The following is a 21,552-nucleotide window of genomic DNA, read 5'->3' as shown; positions in this document are numbered from 1 at the left end:
AGTGGTGTCAAATGCTGCTGATAGAATAGGTCAAGTACAATGAAGACAAGAGAGAAACATTGGCTTTATAAACCGGGAGATCATTAGTGCCCTTGAGAACAGCACGTGGTTGGATGGAAGATGCACTGGAGTGGGTTTAAGAGAGAATGGGGAAAATAAGGGAACATGGCAAATACAGATGCCTCTTTTAATATTTCTGCAAAGGAGAGGGAGAAAGCAGCAAATTTTCATAGTTATAATTTGATGATGTGGAGGAGAGAGAGGAAAATTGCTAAAACATTGCCCTTGAGTGAGCAAGGGGTGGAGATTGGACCTCATCACAAGTGGAGGGGTTGGCTTTAGAGAGGAGTATGGATAGTTGTCTACATCAACAGGCAGAAAGGTAGAGTGTATATACCTGCATGCAGATAGATCACCAGAGAATATATATAGTCTTAGAAGTTTGTGGTAGTCCTCTCTGATTGCTTCATTTTTCTCAGAGAAGTAGAACAAAAGGTCATCAGATGGGAAGAAATTGTTGGGAATCTGGAAGGAAAGCAGAAGACATAAACTTCGTGAGTGTGGGTGAGGGAATAGACAGAGAATTTTGGTGTGATTGCCAGTGGCATTTAAGGGGACACTTGACATTAGGGGTCAGGAATTTAAAGTGAGACCAGCCAACATGTTTGCATGCTTTCTTCTGTTTTCTCTAGCCACAGTCAGCTGTCTGGGTACAGGTGTGAACTGGGCAGTCTGATGGATTTAACCAGATGTTTTTGCCAAAAGGATATGACCAAGTAAAAGATGGGCCAGGGAGTTGAGGGAGGGAAATTAATGACAGATGATGGAATCTACACTTCTCTTTTAAAAATTTTAAAAATGTTTATTCATTCATTTATTTTTTAAAGATGGGCTCTTGCTGTGTTGCCCAGCCTGGTCTCGAACCCATGGGCTCAAGCCCCATCCTCCTGTCTCAGTGTCCCAAAGTGCTAAGATTACAGGCCTGAGCCACTGCGCCCAGATGGAATCTACATTTCTTAAGGAGGAGCATGAAATATCGAAGCTATGAAGGGATTCTTGGAGTGTGTCTTATTCCATTGGTGCTGCTATAACAGAATACCACAGACTGGATAATTTATAAACAACAGAAATGTATTTCACAGTCTGGAGGCTGAGAAGTCTAAGATCTAGGCAACAGCAGATTGAGTGTTTAGTGAGGGGCTGCTTCCTCTGGACAGCGCCTTGTGGCTATGTCCTTACACAGTGAAAGAGATGAATGAACTCCGAGACCTCTTTTTAAAAGAGCACTAATCCCAATCCTGGGGGCTCCGATCTCATGATCTAATCCTCTCCCAAAGGCCCCCACCTTAGAATACCATCACTTTGGGGGTTAGGATTTCAACATATGAATTTTGAGGGGACACAAACATTCAGACCCTAACAGAGTATGAGATTGAGTGGTCTGAAAAGATGGGAGGTGTGAGCTGTGGGGGGGATGCATGACAATGATGGCATACGGGCAATTGGTATCTTTACCCTTTATTATTAATAATCTGTGTATTTCAGAGATTTGGCATGCAGTGTCTTGAACATCCTTAGTGAATGTATAAGTTGAAAACTCCAAGTGTTTGTGTATTATTGACATAAATGTCTATTTCTCCTATTGTTCCTTATTTCTTTCTTTGCTGTTAAGGATTCAGAAGGAATTGGTTAAAAGGACTTTTTTTCTATGGTTAAAGAAGAGACCTCAGACCTGGGTGGTTTTGATCATGCTTCTTGTCTTGAATTATCATCTCGGGGTAATGAATGACCGTTATTCAAATCATGCAATATTTGTTGAGAGTCTACCACGTATGAAGCCCTCTTCTAGGCACTTGCAATAGAACTGTGAGCAAAATGGATAAAAGTGCCTGCTCTTGTGGGGCTTATGTTCTAGTGGAGGAGAGAAACAAGAAAAAGAGTAAAATAAGAAAATATTCAGCATGTGTACAAAGGAGAGAAAAATAGCCGGGCGCGCAGTGCTCACGCCTGAATCCCAGCACTTTGGGAAGCCGAGGCGGGCAGATCACTTGAGTCCAGCAGTTTGAGACCAGCCTGGCCAACATGACAAAACCCTGTCTCTACTAAAAATACAAAAATTAGCCCAGTGTGGTGGCACGCGCCTGTAGTCCCAGCTACTCAGGAGGCGGAGGCAAGAGCATTGCTTGAACCTGGGATGTGGAGGTTGCAGTGAGCCGAGATCACATCACTGCACTCCAGCCTGAGCAACAGGGCGAGACTCTTTCTCAATAAATAAATAAATAAATAAATAAATAAATAAATAAATAATAAAGGAGAGAAAAATAAATCAGGGAAGTAAGAAAGGAAATGTGCCAGGGATGAGGGGTGGAGGTGGTGGGGTGGGGCCACTGGCCAGGAGGACACCTTCATTGAGAAGGTGATGTTGAACAAAGACCTCAAGTCTAAGGTTACCTTCATAAGCGGAAGATGAACAAGTTTGCACGGGAGCAAATAGACCAAGGTGGCCACTATCCTTAAGAAAACAAAAACCCATATTCATGCCAAAGGCCAAGAATATTGTTTTTGGTTATTGAAATGGAATGAGTCAGTAGTATCTGTGTGTGTGTTTCTACCAGACGGTTAATGGGCAGTTCATTAGCCGCTACCTTTTTTTTTTTTTTTTGGTGGTGGGGGAACAGTGTCTGGTGGGTGTTTCTGCAGGAGACTGCTGACCTCAGACCCAGCCGACCTGACTAATTTTTGCCAATGGAAAGTTATATGTGTAAGGGATTACAGCTCTTCTTTAATGGGCTGAGTTCATCTGTGGCCAGAAAAAGAACAAAGGCTCCCAGGGTACAGGGCTTTGGGAGGGGTGAGAAGTCTGAATCATAAGCCTGAGCCTAAGCAAGGTGTGTGAAGTTGTTGAGGCTGAGAAAAATAAAAGTCAGAGATGACTTATCTTGGCGTCTGCCAGCCCACAGCAAGGATTGTCAGCTGGGCAGGTTGTCAGCGTTGTGGTCCCATTCTGAGAAATTCCCTTTCTCAGAAACCAGGCATCTGAGAGCATAGGGTTGAACTTTGGTGTTTTAGGTGATGTGGTGAAGTGTTTGTCAACTTGCTGGCTGAGCCTCCTCCACACCGGTAGTAACTCTTGGTGCCTGTGCCAGGAACTGTGTCATCCTTGTGAGTCACCTGTCATGCATGTTTTACCGGGAAGTTGGGTGGTTCAGCTGCGAGCAAGATTCTGTTCAGTATGTATTTCTTTTGATTGTGAACCAACATTAGTACTTCAGGGAGGTATTATAAATAGGTCAGTGTAAAATATCCACCAGCCGTTAATTATCTCAGTCCAGAGTTTGAACTTGCCTCTTCGTGTGGTGGGGGTGTGGAGGGGGGGTCCTTGGTTCTGTGAAAGGGCCCCAGGAATACATTTAGGAATCTCCCACACATGCATTATGCATATTATTTGCCTCTTGTGCAATTGAGCTGGCTCACGTTAGATACCTTGTTCACTCACCTTTCTCAGACGGAGTGACAATTAACTTCCAGGAGCTTCATGACAAACCCTAAAATATGTTGCTTGCCTGCCACATTTGTCCTTAAGAGGGCATGAGGTTCTCCATGAGTAAGTGTAGGCTTTGGGAATCACACTCAGCCCTCTGACTTTGTGAACCCAGAAACTGAGATTCATGATACAAAGGGTAATATTAGTAATAATAAGGCCGGGCATGGTGGCTCACACCTATAATCCAGCACTTTGGGAGGCCGAGGTGGGCAGATTGTGTGAGGTCGGGTGTTCGAGACCAGCCTGGCCAACATGGTGAAATCCCATCTCTACTAAAAATACACAAATTAGCTGGGCTTGTTGGCGGGCACCTGTAATTCCAGCTACTTGGGAGTCTGAGACACAGAATCGCTTGAACCCAGGAGGCAGAGGTTGCAGTGAGCTGAAATCACTCCACTGCACTCCAGCCTGGGCAACAGAGTGAGACTCTGTCTCAAAAAAAAAAAAAAAAAAAAAGATAAATAAATAAATAAATAAAAACAAATAAATCAAATGTAAGGATGTCAAGGTTGTTAATGACAAGATTGTAGCCCAAATGCAGTAGTGAGGTTGGAGAGAGCTGGGGTCCCAGCCTCACAGAGACTAGGTTAGAATTTTAGACCTGCCTCTTACTTGTTGAGTGGCTTTGGGCAGTTCATTTAACCTCTCCGTGCCTCAGTTTTCTTTATCTGTTAAATGGGTCTAGTAATAAGTAGTACCTTGCTGAGCTGTCATGAGGACCAGGTAGAAAATTGAATGAGCAGCCCCTAGCCTAGTGGCTTTCACAGAGAAAGTGCTCAGGAAATGTCAGCAACTCATTGTCATCAAAGTTGTCTTCACATAGTTTTATGAGGGAAATGCTCTTATTCCCATTTTACAGATGAGGGACTGAGGCTTTATGAAGATTAAGGGATAGGCCTGTGACTGGAAGAGGAATTCCTGGCTGACCCGCAATTCTCACTTAGACTGCCTGGCACCCCTGCTTACGTCTTAACTGCTGAAATTACTGCGAGTTGAGGGTACACCTGAATGTGGTCAGTTAACATGTGTAACATTTAATATTTACAATTAAGAATTTGGGTTTGATTCATTTCCCCCACTGTTAGGGTTTTGGACTCATATCTGACCCTTTTTGGTTTCTTGATATGCGTTGAAATTTGGGGTTGGGATGGGTTGGTGGAAGCAGCTGTTCCCTACTGCTGTGCCTCCAGCATACTGTGCAAGGGTGTGCCTTGTTTTATCTTCATAATTGTGAAAGATTTACCTTGATAGGTGAGGCAATGTCATTTTATCTCTTACAATCAGAGAAAATCACTTATCTGGGCGTGTGAAGATCATGGTGATATGACAGGAAGAGTTGGCTTATTGGAAGGCTTGGTTAATGTGTGTAAAGTTTTGATTACTTTTGTTTTTAGCAGCAACTTTTTTTTTTTTTTTTGAGACAGAGTCTTAATCTTTTGCCCAGGCTACAGTGCAGTGGCATGATTACAGCTCACTGCAACCTTCGCCTCCCAGGTTCAAGCTATTCTTGTGCCTCAGCCACCCAAATAGCTGAGATTACAGGTGTGCGTTACCATCCCTGGCTAATATTTATTTATTTATTTATTTATCTATTTATTTTTAAGTAGAGATGAGGTTTCATTGTGTTGGCCAGGCTGGTCTTGAACTCCTGACCTCAAGTGATCCGCCCACCTCGGCTTCCCAAAGTGCTGGGATTTTAGGCATGAGCCACTGTACCAGGCCAGCAGCTTTTTTTTTTTTTTTTTTAAAGCTACATATATGTGAGCCAAAACGTTGAAAATGATATTTTTGGAATCTTTTTTAAAAGTTGTGGTAAGATATATATAACATAAAAGTTGGCATTTTAACTATTTTTAAGTACACACTTCATTGGCATTAATTACATTCACAATGTTGTACAACCATCACCACTATCTATGTCCAAAACTTGGGTGTAAGTGGAATTATGCAATATTTGTCCTTTTGTGTCTGACTTCTTTCACTTAGCATAATATTTTGAAGGTTCATCCATGTAGCAGCACAGATCAGAACTTCAATATTTAAATGGCTGAGTAATATTCCATTGCAGAGATATACCACATTTTGTTTATTCATTCATCTGATGGGCACATAGATTGTTTTCACCTCTTGGCTATTGTGAGTAATGCTGCAATGAATATTCACAGACAAGTGAAAATGACGGTATTTTGTGGCGTTAGCAAAGATGCACTTTTTTTTTTTTTTTGAGACAGACTCTTGCTCTGTTGCCTAGGTTGGAGTACAGTGGTGTGATCCTGGCTTACTGCAACCTCTGCCTCCTGGGTTCAAGCGATTCTCCTGCCTCAGCCTCCTAAGTAGCTGGGAGTACAGGCACACACCACCACACCCGGCTAATTTTTGTGTTTTTAGTAGAGATGGGGTTTCGCCGTGTTGGCCAGGCTGGCCTTGAACTCCTGACCTCAGGTGATCTGCCCTCCTCGGCCTCCCAAAGTGCTAGGATTATAGGCATGAGCCACCACGCCCTGCCAGAGATGAACTTTAATTTCTTGGTATTCCAGGGGTAGAGCTTTCCTAACTGAGGAAGTCTGTATCTTTGACCAGGTTGCTATCTTAACCCCTTGGGCACATGTGGATCTTTCCCCTGCATTCTTGCTGAGCCTGCCTCTGTAATTTGTTTGGGAGGACGCTGGCTGCTGGTGAGTCAGACTGCCTCCAGCCATCCGGGTTTGACTGCGTCCTCCCTCCCAGGTCTCTGGGCCCCTTGCTTGCTTGTCTGGAGCTTAGCCAAGAATTTCTCATGTACCCACTTTTTATGGTTTGCTTATTAATTCTAGATGGGCTCAATTTATATTGTTTTTTATTTGTATGTGCCTTTTGTACTAGGTTGGAGCCCCCAAATTATATGTGCATACACTGCATTGAATGTTCATTTTATGGACATATTTTTTAAAGGAGGTAATAATTGAGTGGAACATACAGCAAGTTTATTTCTGTTGACCTGGGTACTGGGCTGAAGCTGTCATGGTTTTATTATGTGAGCTTGAACAAGTCACTTACTCCTTCTGACTTCAGATGAATGAGTGATTTATAAGACCTCCTTTCTTCTCTTACATATAGAGGTCTATGACCCTAAATGTGTCACCCCTATGTTAGACCCTTTAATATTTTGAGATACAGGTTTGTCGTATTCTCTGATTGAAAGTAACTTGTACATGTTTGGTTTTCATTTACATTAGGGAAGATGGCAGCAAGTATTCCTAGAGTGAAATCAAATGCCTATGTTAGTGGAAGGGAACACAAGACAAGTGGATTCTCATCAACACGTTTCCCTAGCCATTATTCATTACAAGTCACCTAATTTTAATTGATTTTGTGCCTGTGGTTAGTACAAAACTCTGTAAGGTGTCATGTGTTACAAGCAGGTCTATAGGTGGGGTCCTTTTCACTTCACCATCCTACCCCTGTGCTAGATGTCTCATCGTGTATTGGGCCATTCTTGCATTGCTATAAAGAAATACCTGACACTGGGTAATTTATAAAGAAAAGAGGTTTAATTGGCTCATGGTTCTGCAGGCTGTACAGGAAGCATGATGCTGGCATCTGCTTGGCTTCTGGGGAGACCTCAGAAAACTTACAGTTATGGCAGAAAGAGAAGCAGGAGCAGACATGTCACGTGCCAGAGCAGGAGCAAAAGAGAGATGCGGGGAGATGCCACAAACTTTTATACAACCAGATCTTGCGAGAACTGACTCACTATCACGAGAACAGCACCAAGGGGATGGTGCTCAACTCTACATGAGAAATCCACCCCCATGATCTAATCACCTCCCACCAGGCCCCATCTGCAACACCAAAAATTACAATTCAGCATGAGATTTGGGTGGGTACAGATATCCAAACTATATCACCTTCTTAGCCAGCGTCATTCTCCACTCCCTGCCCCAGTATGTTTTGGCCCCCCAAAATTTTAAAGTGACAGTTACTGTATCTTAGTATAAAATAAAAATCAAAATGATTCCCACCCATGAATACCATTAAATACCATTAAATTGGTTGGACCTGGTTAGTGTCGGGCCTTTGTGGCTCACTGCGTCCACCCTCACAAGGGTGGCCTGCTACTTCCCCACAGTAGGGACTCTCTGGGGAAGGCTTAGGGCTCAAGAGGGTGAGCCCTCTGTGACCCCATTGGGAAGGACCTCCATTCTGTTATCTGACACGTAACTAGTGCCAGAACTGTACTTTTTGCCAAAATAGCACCGTCAATGTGAAAACATTGAGAACATTATAAATGCTAAGATCGTTTAAGAAACAGGGTTGGCTTATTTCCTGATTGAAAATTGTCTTGACATGTTTAGTGCCCATTCGCCCATTTAGAGACAGTGTTGGGCATGTGCCCAGTCCAAAGCCTGTTAACCCATGCATTCCATTGCCAATAGGCATCTATTATTTTAAGTTCCCACTTTACCGAAGGGTAGGCAGAGGGACTTGCTCTGAGTTACTCTTCTGGTTGTCGCTGGACCCTGGACTTGAACCGGCTCTTCTCATTTTGTATCCTTGCTTCTCTCATGACCCAATGAGGCCTCCCCGATGGGATACTCCCTGACCCAGCTTTTTCAAGAGGCTATACTGGGGATTATAAAGCTATCCTGGCATTCTTTGAAGAAATGGCAGGACTGAAATTAGAACTTGACTTTTTGTCTTCTTAGTTATTCTATATTATCTTACTTCTAGTGCCAATAACAATTATTATTGTTTATTGCTGCCGAGCAGGGAGGTATCTGAAAGGTCCCAAACTAGGAAAAACTTCGATGCTTTTACCCCCCGTGAACACATGCACCATTTGTGCAAGGCACCCAGGGCCCTTGAAATCAAAAGCCTTACTGTGTGTGTGGGTGGGACAGCATCTGGCCCCATATGGTTTATTGCTGGTGGGAGCTAAGAGCTCACGGATGTTTCCTTGGCCTTCTTTGTTATCTTTATCTAACTCTGGTTGCACTTCCTCCCTTTTCCCTTCACCCTTTCAGTTACAAACCTGGCTTCACTTAGAAGAATGTGGGCTACCAAGGAGTCCTGACCCTGTTGACTTTGACTTGTTAGATGAAAGTTGTTCTTCTGTAAGGAAATCTAATTTGGGGTAATGAAAACAATGGGGGCTTTAAAATCATGGAAACTTATAATTGGAAGATAGAGCTCAGAAGGCAGAGAAAATTAAATCGAACATTCATCATTTTATAGTAAAGGAAATTGAAGCCCTTGGATTTTAGGGAATTTGCCACACAGTCCCTGCAATGCATTCTGGAGGTGGTGTTTAAAAGCTATTAGAGTTTCCTGGCCTCTTTTTGGCTGGCCCTGTATTTTTTAAGAATATCTCTATGTATTTGTTAGGTATTCTGTTTTCAGATAGAGAAAACTATGTAAAGAGTCTCTAAGTTTGGTTGGCATAAGGTTTACTTTGAAGTTGTAAAACATTCTTGTATCAAATCAAATTTAATGAAGACTGTGTTTTAAAACTTTGCCTAGAAAGGTGAACCTTGTTTGTCTCTCAGAGAATAGAAAGACCCCATCCAGGGCTGAAACAAGTGTTTGCAGTGTTTTCAAACATGTCCGTATTCCCAAGCAGACCCTCAGATTACCTAGCATGGGAGTGTGTGGGATGGATCCATATTTAGACCTTTCATCAGTTTCAAATATAAAAAATTGATTTTGGCAATCCGTTGGTAGTCAACCACAAAATGTAGTTATGAAAAACCTTCTGCATTTCCATAGCAGTCCAAATATGGATTCCATTAACAGGATGCATATTTGGAACTGCAGTTATGCTGGGAAATCGTGTTTGGATTCAGGTAATTTGACGGTGTTGACACCCCTGTTGCGTATCACCTAACACGAGGAGGAGGAGGAGACTCTTCCCTGGCCTTGCTGCTGATAACATTGTTGCTAGGTGACATAGGTGAGGACGCGTTGGTGCCAGCACTTCTTACCTTGTTTTTGTTCTATGAAGGCTTGAAAAGGTGGAGGTAAGCTCCATTGTGGCTGATGGCTTCAAATTCGCAGATCTTGAAGACACCTTGATTCCTGACCAAGTTGGTTCTGGAGACCCCTGAAGAGCAATCCAGAAAATGCTTGCTTTTGGAAGTCATCTCTGTCACTGAGAATGCAATTTGAAAGGAATTTTAAAGCCCAGCTATTGTAGATCTAATATATAGAGAGAGAGAGTGAGCAAGCTAAACACTTGAGTTAAAATTTTTGGAGAGAATATGCTTAAATAAACTCTCCATACGTTTTCATTTCTGAGTGTAAATCCACTTGACAAAGGGAAAAAGAAGTTTAACCCTTTGTGACCTTTTCTCCACATGCCACATATTGTTTTCCAACATGAATTTATTTTTTATGTAGTCCTCTTCTGTCTGTTTAGCCAGCTCTTGTGCAAATATCCACTAACAATTCACATACCTCCTAAGGGTGTCAGGGTTTGCAGTTTCTCTGAACGTTCGTGCATAAAGTTGTCAGGGTTTGCAGTTTCTCTGAACGTTCGTGCATAAGGGTGTCAGGGTTTGCAGTTTCTCTGAACGTCCGTGCATGCATCTTTTCTTTTGCGGTGATGTGTGTTATTTTTGTATCATTTAGCGTCATTCCCAGGTTCATCCCGATCTTGAGAAATTAACAACAAAAGTCAGCTGTGCTCCCTCTACTGGTTGCATTTCTTTGGAGCAGAAATACTGTACATTTGTGTATAAGTTCATTGCTGCTGATGGGGCTCGGACCTGCGTTCACATTTTCTTTTCCGAAATTCGCATGACTTAAAAAGCAAAACGAGTGGCTTTCAGAACTGCAGGTTAAGAAACTGGTACCTTTAGAGGGATAGGCGTCTTCCTTACTGCCCACTTGTCTACTAGTGTTGTGGGGGAATCTTCCTGGGCAGGAGGACACAGCCCTTCTGCTATAGCAGTAAATTCTTGGATGCTAAGTCCTGCTTCCCTCCGAGGCCCAAGGCCAATGCCTGGGGCCTCTCCAGTTCTGATATTGCTGTATTTTCATCACTATCAGGTAAGCCGTTCTGTTCAGATCTGTGAAAACCTGCCCGCCACTGTATGGAGCCAGCAGGGTTTATGTAACGTGTTCACATGTTGCTCAGACTCTTGATCTCAAGTTATTCTTCTCTAGAAGCATCTACAGGGGACCCTTTATTTTTAGGCCTGAGAGATAGGGAAGAAGGTGGGGACTATTTGGTTTAATCCAACATGTATGTATTGCGTCCCCACCATATATGTGGCTTTAAGAAAATTCAAGATGAGCAAACCTACTGTTCCCCCACGTCCCCTTTAGAGAAACACTAAGTAACAACAAAAAGCTCTTCTCCCCCTCCATGCAAAATTAAATAATAATATCAGAAAGAAGGTGAAAAAAAAGTATATGCCCCCCACCCACCCAGAGCTAAAAGAAACCTTCTTAGGTAATCATGAGACCAGAAAACCTGTAGGCAAGATGTGCTCCCCGTGTAAGCCCACTGCTCTGATGCTCTGACCACTGACTTCATGGTGCTTGCCTTCCTCTTCCCACGAGTGATTTGTAACATTCTTTTCTATATGCTGTAATGAGATGAAGCGCCTTCCTGTTGTGTGTGGAGTAGTTCCAGCGGAGACTCATAATTGTCAATGGAGAAATGACTGATGGGCCTCGATGGGGCTGCTTTGTCTCAGTATCTGTCACATCTCTCGCTGCACACCATGTCGGCTTCCCCGAAGTACGCGATCTCTGATTCTCAAGACAGTCCCGCCTGGCTTTACATCATCCTTCTCCCATCCCCTTCATGATTGTTTTCATCCAGATTCAGCGTAAGTCAGTAGCTTGGTGAGTGCATGGATGCCAAGGCTGCACCCAAAACCACGGGATGCTTTCCTGCCTCTGATCTCAGTGTCTGCTTTCTTCTGAGCCCATATGTATGGTTCTCAGCGATTGAATGCTGCACAGTGGAAAAGGAGAAGTGTTGTTTCATGTTTTTCTAAGTCCCTGGAGAGTCTCTTCAAATTGATGATGCTATATGGAATAGATGGAATACATTAATTAAATGACAGGTGATAGTGAAACTTCTAAATCAGGGTTTCTCAGCAGCAGCAGCACTATTGGCATTTGTGGCTGGATAATTCTTTGTCGTGGGGGCCTGTTATATGCATGATAGGATGTAGAGCAGCATCTCTGGACTCTACCTACTAGATATCAGTAGCAACCCCCAGCTGTGACAACCAAAAATGCCTCCAGATATTGCCAAATGTTCCCCGGAGGCAAATTCACCTCCAACTAAGGACCATTGCTGTATCCAAACATTCTTCTCTTTCTTCATTCTGTTTATTTATTTATTTTCAAGACAGAGTCTCACTCCGTCACCCAGGCTGGAAGTGCAGTGGTGTGATCTTGGCTCACTGCAACCTCCACCTCCCAGGTTCAAGCAATTCTCATGCCTCAGCCTCCTGAGTAGCTGGAATTACAGGCACACACCACCGTGCCTGGCTAATTTTTGTATTTTTAGTAGAGACGGGGTTTCACCGTGTTTCCAGCCTGGTCTCAAACTTCTGACCTCAGGTGATCCACCTGCCTCAGCCTTCCGAAGTGCTGGGATTATAGGCGTGAGCCACCGTGCCCATTCTGTTCCTTTAGATGTGTTTGTGGGTACTCTTTTGTTTATTTGCTTAATTCATTTATCAGGTGGTTATTAAATTTTCTGCTATACCAGCCTTTATACCAGCCTATATTCTTTACCAAGAATGTAAAGATGAACCAGCCATCTCTTTCTTCATGTTCATATACATATGAATATATATATGTGTGAATCCGTGTGGATATATATGAATATATATAAAATATATATATGGATATATATACATATATATTTGAGTCAAGTTTAAATGTTTCTGAAAGTTCCCTTTTTAGAGTACTGTTTCCAGGCTGCATCCCTGGCTGGCATTTGAGTCATTATGACTTCTTTAATGAATGTTGGGTTTTTATTTTTGTAGCCTGTGTCTTTGAGGAAAGTCCCTTGCAGTATGGATGAGTATCCTTAGTTTTTGGCACAGCTTTTAACCTTATAAAATGATAATACTCTATTAATCTATCAATTTCATCCATGAATGCTTCAACCCTTTCAGATATAGCCTCTCACTTGTCACTTCAGATTTACCGTTTTCTTCTTTTGTGATTTCTTTCATTCTCTTTAACCAGCCACCTGAGGCATCATTTAACCTGAGGTCATTTAAAGTTTTATTTAAAGAAACTTCTGTTTGGAAACCAAGGTCAAGCACAGCAGAGGGATGTTCATTGCATGGCTTTCTGGTAAACTTTAAGTTAGCATGTTCCCTTTCACATTTTTAGAAACTGATATAAAAATTGCTCATGGGAAATCAAATTTGGGGCAGTTTTCTTTCCAGGGGGAAGGAAAGAGGGATGTATTTCAGCGAGGAAGAGGTTGACAGATAGTTTCCACTATGTGAGTAATTTTAATTTTTTTATGCTACATGGTGGGCACGTGGGTGTTCATTATATTCTTTTCAAATATATGTTGTATATTGGAAATACTTTCTAGTACATATGAAAGAAAAGGCAGCCAACTGAAAGTTTGGTTTCTGTTTTTCTGCCCTTCACTCCTTTTCAATAGATGTTTGGGAGTTAGGTCTCCACTGAATGAACTACCCACGTTTCTGTCCTTGAAGGGCTGGTGGGGGGCGCTTATGTAACATTGCTGGCCTTTTATATCTTTTAAGAGGCGCTGCTTTTTTGCCACGTGCTGTAGAAAATTATTTGACAAGCACTCACGCTTTGTGCAGGGTGACCAGGTTCATCCGTAAAATGGTTAAGACCTTTTCGAAATACATTGCCCCCAAGGATGTGGTGGGGAGGGTGCTGGGATTCTGAGTGACAGCCGGCGAATGCCAGAGGGAAGAATTAAATTGGAGAGGGAGGCGGAGAGGAGGGAGGTGATGGTGGGAGGAGGAAGGGAGGAGCGACCAACCCTCTCCAACACACCCAAGTGACCAGATTCATCATAGCACGAAACTTCACAAGTTACACCCACTGCCTCCGCCAGCAGCCGGGGAAGGCTGCTGCTTCCTCATTTCTGTTACTGGAAGTTTGGGACATGTGAAGCCAGACGGGGAGAAACGTGCGCGCCTTGTTGAGCAGCGGTGAGCTTGAATTTTGAAATCGATTCTTTCCACCGGCGAATCTCTTTGTGTCGGGTGGTCAGGGGAGGCAGCCGAATGTGGCTCTGAACGAGGATAGGTGAGAGCCCCGAGCTGAGCTGTGCAGCTGGGGCCGGGGAACCGTGCGTCCCGTGCCCCTTCCCAGAACGAGCAAGCGCGTCTCCAAGCTGCGCCCCGAGGCTCGGCGCGCGTTGCCGGCTGAGCTGCAGGGGACGGCGGCGACGCTGGTTCTGGCTCCAGGGTAAAGAGATTCGGGCTTTGAAAGCGTCATCTTTCCCCCTTGACTTCTGTAAGCGAGGATCATTGTATGGGATATGGGGTCGGGGAGGAGACTGCGGGATCACGTCACCCACCCAGGATGCGTCCTGCCCGGGGCTGTCCCGCTGCTCGTTGGGTAATTGCAGGTCAGTGCCATTGAAAAAGAACCCCATGACAGGCTTGGGAATCAAGTGAGAAAAAAGTTCCGAAGGAATATTCAGAAGCTGTGGCTCCCGACCGCACCTGGATGGGAGTTCTGGAGTGGGACGTCGGAAGTCTCGGGGTTCTCATTAATTTTACATCTGATTAAATTAGTTCGACTCTAGGTTCCTGGCTGTGGAGGTGTGATTTGTTTATCTGGATCATTTTTTTAAATGTCTGTCTTTCTGTGAAAGCTAGCTTACCTTTGGATCGATTGCCTAAGTCAATTTTGTGAGAGGAAGTTTGGGTGGAAGGTGGTGCTGGGGGCTGGGATCATTGCAAGTGGCAGTATGTCCCAGCAAAGGATAAACTTAGCTCAAATGAGGCTTCTCACAGACAGGATTTAGGTTTTATTTCAAGTCTGGAGCTGGTCACTGGGCTTCCATTTGGCCTGTGTAGCTTTTGCTCAGTGTGTAGGGGTCAGAGGGAGGCTATTGGGTTAACTGTTACCTGTTGCACTTGTTTCATACCTGATCAACAACTTAATAGTACACCAGCAGCTGGAGCTGGTTTTTGTTTTTTTGTAAGCGAATCCTTCATGAGAATGTTTACAGAATCATCTTACTTTGAGGGGAAGAAATGAAGGTGAAAAATGTGTGGCTCCTGTTGTATTTATAGCAAGCCAAATGTTCTTTCCCAGGTCTGGGGTGGGTACAATCAGGAAAATGTCAGTAGCTGATTTTATCATTTTTCTTATATCGAAGCGGAATTGGCAGACTCTCTCAGCATACCTTCCCTTGAACTTTGGGGGTCGGGAGGCAGGTTGCTGGGGCCGCAGTTTGCTTAGCTTGCTCTGACTCTCCCACTTCCTTGAAGTTAAAGATACAGATGGAGAGGAAATTACTTTTAAACCAAATCAGACATGGCTTAGGGAAGAACAACAGGTTGCATGATCCAGGGCTAGAGCCCTGAGTTCTAGCTCATTTTGAGCTCAAGAAAGGACCCAGCAGCAGGTAGATGTGAAATTGATGCTGACATGAGGTCTGTGATCTACTCCCTCACGCCCCTCCACCCCACAAGGAACCTTTAGTAACTCACTCAACAGGAAAGACAACCAAATTGGATCTCATGATAATGCTGGTGAAACTGACTAATAGACGGAGTTTTATGGAACAATAATTCTTAGCTACAAAAAGGGGAACTGCATTGTTCATAGAGCAAAGGTTTTTAGATATTGTCACATGTGACTGTTGGAAGATACCATCATGAGGACATTTGAAATTGGGGTTAATGCTAGTATATGACCGTGTAGATGTGAGAGAAAGTGGCAATTTCTGTATCATTATCTTTTCATATTGTCTCCCCACCTCTCCCAGTAAATAAGCTGGTTTGTCTCTGGTTGGTTATATTTTTAAATTTTATTCACTTATTTCTTCTTTTTAGAGATGGAGTCTTGCTCTGTTGCCCAGGCTGGACTGGAGCTCCTGGGCTCAAGTGATCCTCCCGCCCCAACCTCCTGTATAGCTAGGACTATAGGCATGTGCCACCTTATCTGACTGTTTTTAAATTGTAAATTTGTTTAATAGATACTAGATCATTAAAATTGTTTGTTTTAATACCTAATTTTTACAGAAATTTTCCCATTTTATGTACAATTTAAAATTGGTATAATATTGAACATGCTGTCCTCATAATATTTTTAAAGACTGTAGTATCTGTAGATATGTTTCCTTTTTCATTCATGGCGTTATTTGTACCTTTTCCCCATCAGTCTTGCTAATGTATTATCAATTTTATTGGTCTTTTGGAAGAACCAACTTCGATTTTTGATGGTATCTTAATTGGAACACAAACAAAGGCCACCTCCTTTCTTGAGTTTATATTCATTTTTAAAATTCTGCCCAGTGGAACTCTGTCGAAAAAGGCCTTAAACAGCCTTTGAAAATTAGCAACTGAGTTCGTTAGCTGCAAGTAGGAGGACACCATGTATTTGTCTTTGTATGTTTGACATAGATTATGTTTTTTCAGTTTTATTAAAATATACTTTCTGTTTGTGAACACCACACACAGTGGACCAAATTGTTCCAAGGTGGGTTTTGTGTATTAATTGAGGCACACCCTGTGATATTGTTCTGGAAAAATGTAACTAGAATTTACATAAGACTTACTGGTAATTTAAAGTGAATTGTAGGTACTTTCAACCCACTTGACAATACAGATTTACCTTGTACGACAGCAGAACAAATTTGCTGTAATGACTGGAGAAGACACTTCATTTTGGTTCATATTTAATGCATGAGTCTGAGCATTTTAAAGTTTTCTCAGAACAGATTCTTTCTAAGTATATCAGAAAGGATGCTGGAGTCAGAAAGACCTGGCTTTGAATTCTTGCTCTGCCCCTTTTGACTGTGTGGCCTCAGGAAAATTGCCTAACCTCTCTGAACTTGTATTTCCCCAAATGTGATCTGGAAACTGATTGTGAAATTGCACTGTGAATTCAGCGTATAATGAGATTTCATTATGAATATTCGTGTAAGGTTTCTATCCTTTGTTTGGCACAAAGTAGGCATTTAATAGTGACACTTAGTGTTTTCAGTGTAACGATTAGTATTTTCTGCCTCCTACCCTTTCTTGTCCTACCTCCAACCTTTCCACTTCTCTCAATGGAAGGTGAAGGAAGGTGAAGTTACTGCCGTAGAATAAAACAAAAACCACTTCCCCCATTTGTTCTCTCTTCATTATGGGCAAGTTCCATATTTTCAGTATTTTTATCTTGTTTTCCTAGTTGATTATCTTACCATTTCTTCCCTCCAATTTTTATCTTACTTTCCCAGTGTTGGTTTTTTTTTTTCCTCTCAGTTTGTCTCATCTCCTAAGGATCTTACCCACTGCTCTGCTCTGTTGTTTTTTTCTTTCCTTTTTTTTTGCCTGCCTTTAGTGTAAAAATGAAATGAGTACAAAGCCCGAAACTTGGCAGCGACTGAGATGTAAGTTAGTGGGTTGCTTCTATGAAGGCAAAGTGTGTTAAATTTAGTTACTCAAGAATTTAACTTGGAAGCTGGTCATGGCGGTGTGTGCCTGTAGTCCCGGCTACTCAGGAGGCTGAGACGGGAGGGTTGCTTGAGCCCAGGAGTTTGAGGCTGTCCTGGGCAACATAGTGAGACCCCCTCTCTAAAAATTAAATTAAAACAGGAAAAGAATTAAACGTGAAGATAGACGATGCTGGTGACTGCCATAGCAGTTTCGTGCCACAGACCTTGGAGTACTTTTTCAGACCTTGGAGTTTCTAAGCACTTTTGGGGGAAGTGTTGATTGTTTGATATTATGGTTGATGCTGTAACCAAAAAGGGACAATAAGAGCATAGGACAGAGGAGCTTGGCTGGTTAATATTCCCCGACAAGGGAATGTAGCGTTATTGAGTTTGCCCAACCCTGAGCCATTGGTTCTTCTTAGGGTCTCTCAGTTGACAAGGTCCTAGGGTATAAGGACCTTGTCCTATGTAATGGCATAATTACTTAGCATTTATTTATGCATCTAGTATTGCAAGGGACTGGACTGGGGATGGAAAGGGATTGTGAGCTGGGAAAAGGCTTCATTTGCTTTATGGTGCTATGCTAAAGTTCTGCTTTGCTCAAGGAGTGAGTCTTGGTTTACATTTTGGGTAGTGAATCAGCTTCAAGTGTGGAGTTATTTTCAATGAAGACAGATTGACTAGCTGCACCTGGTCTGGCCTGCCCACTATGACCCAGTGGTGCTATTTTGTTCTAGCCAATGCTTTCATGAGAATGGAGAACAAGGAGGCGTCGTTTTCATGAGTATTTTGCAACACCCACTTCTCCAGTTTATTTTGATGCCGTTGCTTGAAAACAAGTGTTAGCATGGCTTTCATTGGTAACACTTTTAGGGAAGAGATCATCACTTTTGGAAAGTTTTGTTTCTTGAATGATTCAGGGTGGATTGATTTGTGAGCTCTTGTACTGAATCGTAGAGCTTCCTCTAGTACCTTGCAGCCACATGCTTCAGTGTTTCCATTAACTATGAGATTTTGGTGGGCAAGAATCTCTACAGTCAAGGTGCTTTCTACAAAGCTATAGATAACTAAGCCTGGTAAATGCTTCTTTATTAAAATACGAACTGCTTATCAAAATATCCATACTCTAATGTATTGAGTGTCTACAACATGTAAGGTACTTTTCCTGTGTTATCACGTTAATGTTTCTGAGGATAATCTTGCAATCTCTAGAGGTATGTAAAAACGAAGCACAAAACCCATTATTTTCTTATGTTGCTCTTATAGGTAGAATCACTGTGGACTGAGACCCACCTTTCTAGACCTGAAGCCCAGGAGGAGGAAGAGGAGGCTGGTTGGTACCATGGGCATAATGCTCTGAATCCTAGTCTCTCACCTAGTATGTGAGCAGTCCCTGCAGATGGCCCATTTGGAGATCTTGACAAAGCCTCTTCTGTTTCCAATGGGGTAAGTGTGGCGTTTGCAAAAGGCTGGGGAATGAGGATTGAAGCTTTTAAAGTCTTTATTATCTTGATCCTGCCCAAATCCACCTTTTTTGGGACAATAGAAAGTTCATTGTTTGTGACGATTGTTTTGGTGGTTAAAGGGTTGCTGAGTCTCCCCACTTGCAATCTGAGGCTTTGAAATGGGTTTCCTGGGAACCTTTCCCATTCTTCCTGGGTGGTTCCCATGGTTATTTTATTTTGGAGTTGGCTGCGGGTAATCCTCTGTCTTTCTGACTTCTCTTTTGTCTGCCCCCATGATACTAGGAAAGGGGAAGAAGGAATTGATTTGGATGCAGCTGGGGAAACTTGGTATCAACGTGCTGGTTTGGGGGCTCTTGGGTGTGGGTTCACATCACTTTCAATGCGACAGGGTAAGCATTGATGTAAACTGCTAAGTGGTTTTGTTCAAGTGGAATATTTCATGCGGCCTCCCTGCTGCGGTGAAACTGGACGTCTTTATTGCATGACAGGCTTGGGGCTTTCACAGAATGGATCAAGAGGTCGCCGTGCAACGTTCGCAGTTAACTCCAAGAGAAGAAATATGCTGCAAAGACACCCTCCCTACTTCCTGTATGTGGCACAGACCCCTTCTAGGGAATTCCAGCAGAAAGGGCTGTGGGTACTTCAGTTTCCCTTCTAAGTGGGAACGGTCACGTTAGCCCATGCAGTCCCCGTTTACTTCCTAGGAGGAGAATGACGTAGACCAAAAGGGGCTTTCTAGCTATGTGAAGTTGCTCTTGTTCTTTTCAACTTTGCCTTCCTCTCGTGGACAAACGCACCTCGACCTTGTTAGCAGGTGACATCGGGATGCATTATTTAACCTTTACCAGGTTGGGCTCCTATGTTGGTTGGTCCAGAAATTGAACACAATAGGAGACTGTGGACTTGAGAGAGGGCAAGAATCACAGGTGCTTCCTGAGGAATGCATGATTCCTGTAACTTTTAGAGTTTCCCACCCTGCATTCCGGGTCCTGCTTTGCAGATCTTGCCGTGACTTGTTCCTCCAGTCTTACCTGCTGCTCCGCTCTGCCTGCATCCAGACGCACAGCAGCGTAGCCACTCCTTTCTCCGCATGTACACAGTGGCTTGGAGAAACCTTTCTTTCAAGGGCTGTCTGGACACGGAGCAGATAAAACCTCCGGGTTGACCTGGAATATGTGCACCCTCCTCAGGGTTAGCCCTTGCTAGGGATGCCCTGGGGGTACAGGGACTCCCAGGTAGTTGGTTAAAGGGAATCCAGTCCCTAAGGGCACCCTCCAACAGAGAGCGGAGCCAAAGCACTCACTTTCCCTGTGATAATACAGACACATTGTATTATCATAATTAGGCTACATGCCTTTTTCAAGGGGTAAAAATAATCATATAAATAATAATAGGCCGGGTGTGGTGGCTCACACCCGTAATCCCAGCAGTTAGGGAGGCCGAGGTGGGCGGATTACTTGAGGTCAAGAGTCCGAGCCAGTCTAGCCAACATGGTGAAACCCTGTCTCTACTAAAATACAAAAATTAGCCCGGTGTGGTGGCACATACCTGTAATCTCAGCTACGCGGGAGGCTGAGGCGGGAGAATTGCTTGAACCCAGGAGGTGGAGGTTGCAGTGAACTGAGATCACACTACCGCACTCCAGCCTGGGCAATAGAGCAAGACTCTGTCTCAAAATAATAATAATAATAATAATAATAATAACAACAATAATAATAATAAAAACAACAATTATTAACCCTTTGGAGCACCGGCTGTCCATGTTCAGCCCCTATCCCTTTGGGTCCCCTTCACCTGTCTAGTAAATTCCCTCTCCCTGAGTGCTTTCGCTCCTGCTGTCTTTGGTGGAGGGTGCCTTTAGGGGCTGGATTCCCTTTGGCCAACTACCTGGTAGTCTCTATACCCCCAGGGCATCCCTAGCAAGGGCTAACCCTGAGAAGGGTGCACATATTCCAGGCCAAGGCTGAGGTCTTATCTTGCCCTGGGTCTAGAGTGCCCCCAGGGCTTCCTTCCCTTCAAGATCTCCCCTACCTACTTTCTGGTTTTCTCTGAAAACACTTCCTAATCAAAAACGTATACATGACTTCTCACCTCTGGCCTAAGTAACCTATTCAAAGCAATAGCATTGGAAAGTGAGGTACCAGGATTTGAACCAGGCAGCCTGGCCTATGGAGTCTAGTCTCTTGATCACCGTGCTATTGTGTGTTCCTCCAGGGTGGGTTGCTTGGATTCTCTTTATACTTGCCCCAGCATGGCTATAGTGACTGCCATGGCGTGCCTAGTAAATGTTAGCTGAACGAGTGGCCACACAGCCCGCCAGAGTCAGCTTTCCTGAGTCCTGTCTCAGGGCACCTGTCCTTGTTGGTTACCCCCATTGGCCTCCTGCCTGCTCTCTGCCGATTCAGATTTTACCTCTCCTTCAGAGTCAGTTCAAGTCCACCTCCTCCCGGCTGTCTTTCTGGACTGCCCCAGCCACTGTGATTTTTGCCCCTCGGAACCAGTGTTCCTTCTCAGATGATGTTACCCTTCTGAGCTCTCCCTGAAGTAGGATCATGAGTCCCTGAGACCTGTGACTGTGCCCTGTGCCTCATGTGCCACAGTGTTAAGGGATTCTTTTTGGGATTAAAACCCGGTCAGAGCTGTCCAAAGAAATGTCAACGTTGCTTCCAGGTTCTGTGAGCAAAGGAAAGTAATGAGGTTAAAGAGCAAAACTAAAAAAAAAAAAAAAAAAAAAGCAAGGGGCAATTCTAAAAATTGTTAGCCCATTTCTGTGTGAGCCTGTGTGTGTATTTTCACACTGCAGCTGCTCAAGTTGAGTCATAGAATGGATGTGTCATCTCTTGGCTTCAGGCACAGTGGCTAGCCCATCTTCCCCCCGGAGGGAGTTTAAGCACATTTATGTGATGAATAATGTGGATTCTCCCCCAGTACTTCAGATG

General features: G+C 43.5%; 1 protein-coding gene across 12 annotated transcripts in view, besides 1 other annotated feature; it reads left to right on the top strand.

Annotated features, from left to right (window-relative positions):
- Window positions 1-21,552, top strand: part of TIAM1 (TIAM Rac1 associated GEF 1) — a 440,670-nt gene that overhangs the window by 201,252 nt on the left and 217,866 nt on the right. For 8 of the 12 annotated variants that reach the window (NM_001353690.1, NM_003253.3, NM_001353688.1 and 5 more), the window contains one exon: window positions 18,414-18,593. The gene's annotated coding sequence lies outside the window, so the exon portion shown is untranslated. Of the gene's footprint in view, window positions 1-13,574; window positions 13,699-18,413; window positions 18,594-21,552 lie in introns of those variants that run through there. The other 4 variants (NM_001353687.2, NM_001353686.2, NM_001353694.2 and 1 more) reach the window with 2 other exon arrangements.
- Window positions 18,278-19,477: an enhancer, noted in NCBI's record as "MED14-independent group 3 enhancer chr21:32710674-32711873 (GRCh37/hg19 assembly coordinates)". NCBI's record gives its function as "activates an origin of replication core promoter dependent on BRD2, BRD4, P300/CBP and CDK7 cofactors, and independent of MED14, by STARR-seq in HCT116 cells {active_cell/tissue: HCT116}" and the evidence as "EXISTENCE:reporter gene assay evidence [ECO:0000049][PMID:35650434]".

Source organism: Homo sapiens, chromosome 21, assembly GCF_000001405.40.
Source record: "Homo sapiens chromosome 21, GRCh38.p14 Primary Assembly".
Taxonomy (NCBI): Eukaryota; Metazoa; Chordata; class Mammalia; order Primates; family Hominidae; genus Homo; species Homo sapiens.
Note: the sequence above shows the minus strand (reverse complement) of the source record. Positions and strands in the feature narration are given on the sequence as shown.